Below are 4,507 nucleotides of genomic sequence, written 5' to 3'. Positions count from 1 at the left end.
TGGAGGAAGAGTACACAGGGAAGATAAATACAACTGTAGAATTACAGTATGGTGGCTGAATTATGAATGGAAATTAAACAAATCATTATAACAATGGGGTTTTTTCATCACTGTTACTGTAGAAATATGATTAATTCTGAATCTTTTTGCAGCTTGTAAATATTAAGCATTCAAATTAAAAGTAGTTTTTCCATAGGAGCACATTTTGAAAATACAAGTCATTCAACACAACCATAAACACTCCAAACATTATTCTTCAGGCTTATTGATTACTGCACTTAAAATAACGTTTTAGTTCTTTAATAGATATTGAGATTTTGTTTTGAAAAGAAGGAAACTGAGCATTCTTAGAATCTAGACTAGCCAATCCCAGAGTGAGTCACTGAGGTCAGTAAAACAAACAGTCTTTAGCCCAAACCCAAGGAAAAGATCTTTCAAGGAGACCAAGTGGGGTAACATGAGCATGAAGTGATTAACCTGCTTGAATTATTTGTCAACTGAGATTCCATGTGTTTTGCTCATCTCACCAGCATACAGAAATTAGCCTACTAGAGATTGGCCTTTGGCCAGATGTACAGGACATTGTTGTCTGCAGTAGATGCAGAAAATATAAAAATGCTGTCAGCTCTTTCCCTACCTTCAAGTCAAGAAGCTTTTCCAGGACAGGGTCATGTCTTCCTCATCTTTGCTTCCCAGCTGCTTGGCATATCATCTGTCGCAGAGCAACTTCTCAGTATACGTTGAAAAATACTTCTGAAGTGTTCTGCTCCAATCAGAATTTTGCCTTACCTTAAGGATCTGAATAGCATCACATCAGCATTTGTATTCCTGGACCTGAAAGAGAAGAAGATGTAAAGTTCCTCAGATCCTACCTGTTCAGACACAGCCATCCTTCAGTGTCATCTCTGTACCGAAGACCTCTCCAGCTGCATCAACCTTTCCATATCCTAAATGCCTTAATCTTAATGCAACTTTGGACCACGTAAGGCATTCTCTGATTTAGTGGTTCTAACGCAAGGTCAATGACACAGTGGCTGTGAAATAAGTTGTGAGAAGAAAGGGCTTTTCAGCTAGCCCTGGGAGTCAAATGTAGTTCAAAGACTCTGTTACCTCTAATGTAGCCTGATGTCTCCAGGAATGTGGAAAAAAAACATGAAGAGCTACTCCTCTGACAGTTTCATGTTGATTGTTCTCCATTTGTTAGTTTTGTCTCATTGTCTAAATTGTAAACTAGAAAATTTGGATAATTCTCTACATAATGCTCCATTTCATTGATAAATAATTTACAAGTAAATTATTTAAATATGTTTTTAAAATGTATGACTTTTACATATAAGTAATACTTTTTACTTTCATGTACATTGAAGGCAATCTCTATACAGGAACATACAGAGCTGCCATGTTCTTATTAATAGCTGCACACTATTTTGAGGACATATGTACATATACAAGTATAGACACCTATATGCACAAATATATATATGTATACATGCCATAACTTAAACAATTTCCTATTGATACGCATTTATATTATTTTGATTTCACATGAGCTCAAAATGGAACTCAAATAATTCTGCAATTATCCTTTTACAAATATACTTTTGTGTGAAGTGGCATTGTAGGATCAACAAATAAGCACATTTTAAAATTTCTATACTCTTGCCCAATTTCTTACCAAACCTGTGGTACCCATTTCTGTCCCATTCAACAGTGTGGAGGGAGCCTTGTTCCATACTTTCTTCTATTCTTTCTTAATTTAGACAGTACAACAGGTAAAACATTATAGTATCTCAATGTTTTAATTTGCATTTCTTTGACTACAGAAATTGAGCGAACACTCAGGTGTGAAGTGTTTTAGTTCATTTGAGCTGCTATAACAATTTATGATAGACTAGATGGCTTATAAACAATCGAAATCTATTTCTTACAATTCTAGAGATTGGAAGTCTAAGATCACACAGCCAGCATGGTTGGGTTCTGGTGATGGCTGGCTCTGGTTCATACATGGTTCTCTGAAGTGGGATTTTGAGAGCTACAGACACTTAATACCACTAAGTAGTTTTCCACAGCAAGGGAGCCCTATGGTTTCAAAATACTGTAGGGAGAAGTCCATGTATCAAATTGGAAGCCTCCTGGGTGTCAATGCTCAACTTCAAAGAGTTGCTAGAACCTCTGCAGAAACCGAGCCACAATTTCTATGACCTACATTTTTTTTTTCTGCAGTGAACCAGGTCATGCAACCTAAGAGACTTCCCCAACAAAAGATCTTGAACTTCTGGAGTATTACCCCCAAGCATTTTCTACTGTAAGCTAGAATTTTTTCTAATAATTTATTTCTGATATAAGGGAATGCTATTGGTTTTTACACATTAATCTTGTATCTCCACTAAAATCTATTTCTAGTAGCTTTTTCATGTCATCTATAATGTTATTTTATCAACTTATTAAAAATAGTTAATTTTCATGTCATATGTGATAAAAATCTATTTCTTCCTTATACAGCTTATTGCTTTTTCTTCCCTTTTTATGTTGACTGAAAGTACCAGGAAGATACTGAATACTAATCATGGCATGTATATACAAAGAGAAAGGAAGGATTATTTTAAATTATCCAAATAAATAATTTGACATTTCAATCTGTTTGCTATTGTGAATGTACATATACTTTCCTTCTGGGAGCTCCAAAGGACAAACTTGGCCGACTCCATGCATAACAGCGCCAGAATGCAAAGCTCCACCAGCACGGAGTTTCAAATTCACTTCCCACTACTCCTTTGACCAGAGACTCCTGTGGGACTTTTCTAGCGGGACTATGCACAAAATAAACAGAGCTCCAGCCCAAGACTCTTTAGTCTACCACATAAAACCAGGAAGGAATGTTTTTACCTCTTCTATGGAAATTCACTACAGCCATCAGTTGCACCACTGCAATTGCACACTTCCTACTGGATGCAACACATAGTGAGTACTAATACGTGCCAAGCCATGTATGTTGGTTGGCATTGTGGAAAACATGCAGTCTGGTAAGACATGATTCTAACATATAAGTGTTAATCACCCTCTAGAAGTAATAACCCGTGTAATGGCAGGTATACTAACACTTTACATGTTTTTCTCATTTAATTCTCAAAACAATATTTTATGCCCACTTTACAATAAAAAGGGTAAACCTGACTTCATTGTGTTCTACCTGTGAGTGATATTATGCAGATATCCAATGGCTTTCAGTTACATCCTTTGAACACGATTTTTAACATTTTAAAGTGTTTATAATCTTCTCTTTAATCCATGTGCTCTGAAATTTCATGGTAAAGCTCATGTGTATTTTTCCCTTCTTTTCAGGGGGTGACATTCATTCTCTTGAATACTCAGGTAATTTTCTCAGGCTGGAAACTCATGTCTTTGGTTCTAGAAATAAAAGTTAATTATTTTCTTGACAATTTTCTACCTTATTTCCTCCTCAGTCTTTCTGAAATTCTCTTTATCTAGATATTTGACCTCTTCCACTAACCTTTTACATCTTCTCTTATCAATTTTCTACCTGTTTGTCTTATTCTTTTGGGAAAATTGTATCAACTTTATCATCCAAATTTTTTGAATTTTTTGTCATATTTTCAGTCTCCAAAAGCCCTTTTTCTGTTTCTTTTTATTGCACCCAGTTTTTACTCCATGGAGACATTTTTTCCCTATCTCAAGATATTTTTTGAAGTTTTGTTAAGTTTTATGTATTGTCTCTTTTACCTCTAAAATCTTTTTCTTTTGTACTTTTTTGTATTAAAAATTCTCCATAAAGACCTAAAAAGTAGATGCATAGTCCAAGCGTATCAGCCATCATCCTAATTTCAAAATTACTGGGCTGGAGTATTTCCCAGGGACACTGATCAGTACTTGTAAGTCTTCTTGAGCTAGTTTCCCCCAGAAGAAAATCCCAATGTCCTGCCTTAAGTATATAAACTTGGTGGTCTGGTTTCTCGGAGGCAAGTGGAATAACTTGAATGGGATATTTTCCGTGTGTACACTTTCAAAATATCCTTTACTTTTCGTATGAATACCTAAAGTTCAGGTACTCCTGGAGTCCCTAAGTCCCTGAGTTCCTCTTACTCAGCATCTCCAGAGAGCATTCAGTCTTCTTCTTGGGTAAGGCAGAAGCAGTCAGGCAGCTCTGAGAAATGAAATAGGAATCCTGTGGCTCTAAAATGCTTCTTCTGTGGACATTCAACCAATCTTACTGTATACAGCCTCTCTGTGGCCCCCATCACCCCCACTTTCAGTGTTGGCTCATACCTCCAATTCCTGGGAATTTCTGTGGCTCTGCCACAAGAATCTACTTGCATCTTAGTCCCTCGCTGGCAGCTTTCTCTGGTCTGCTGAATCCATTACCACTGCACCATGTGCTTTCTAACTTTCAGAGTCTTAATGCTGTACTTTCCTCTCTCTTTTGTCTTTATATTATTGCCTTTTGTATTCCTTTTTCTTTCATTTTAGTTGGATTTTGGTGCTTCAAGGC

The 4,507-nt window shown here is 36.4% G+C and overlaps 1 long non-coding RNA gene across 1 annotated transcript; it reads left to right on the top strand.

The window, feature by feature from the left end:
* Window positions 1–436: 436 nt before the first annotated feature.
* Window positions 437–3,171, top strand: LINC00561 (long intergenic non-protein coding RNA 561). Its single transcript, NR_047491.1, has one exon. It is a non-coding gene; the product is annotated as a long intergenic non-protein coding RNA 561 (long non-coding RNA).
* Window positions 3,172–4,507: the final 1,336 nt, after the last annotated feature.

This window comes from Homo sapiens, chromosome 13, assembly GCF_000001405.40.
Source record: "Homo sapiens chromosome 13, GRCh38.p14 Primary Assembly".
In the NCBI taxonomy this organism is placed as follows: Eukaryota; Metazoa; Chordata; class Mammalia; order Primates; family Hominidae; genus Homo; species Homo sapiens.
Note: the sequence above shows the minus strand (reverse complement) of the source record. Positions and strands in the feature narration are given on the sequence as shown.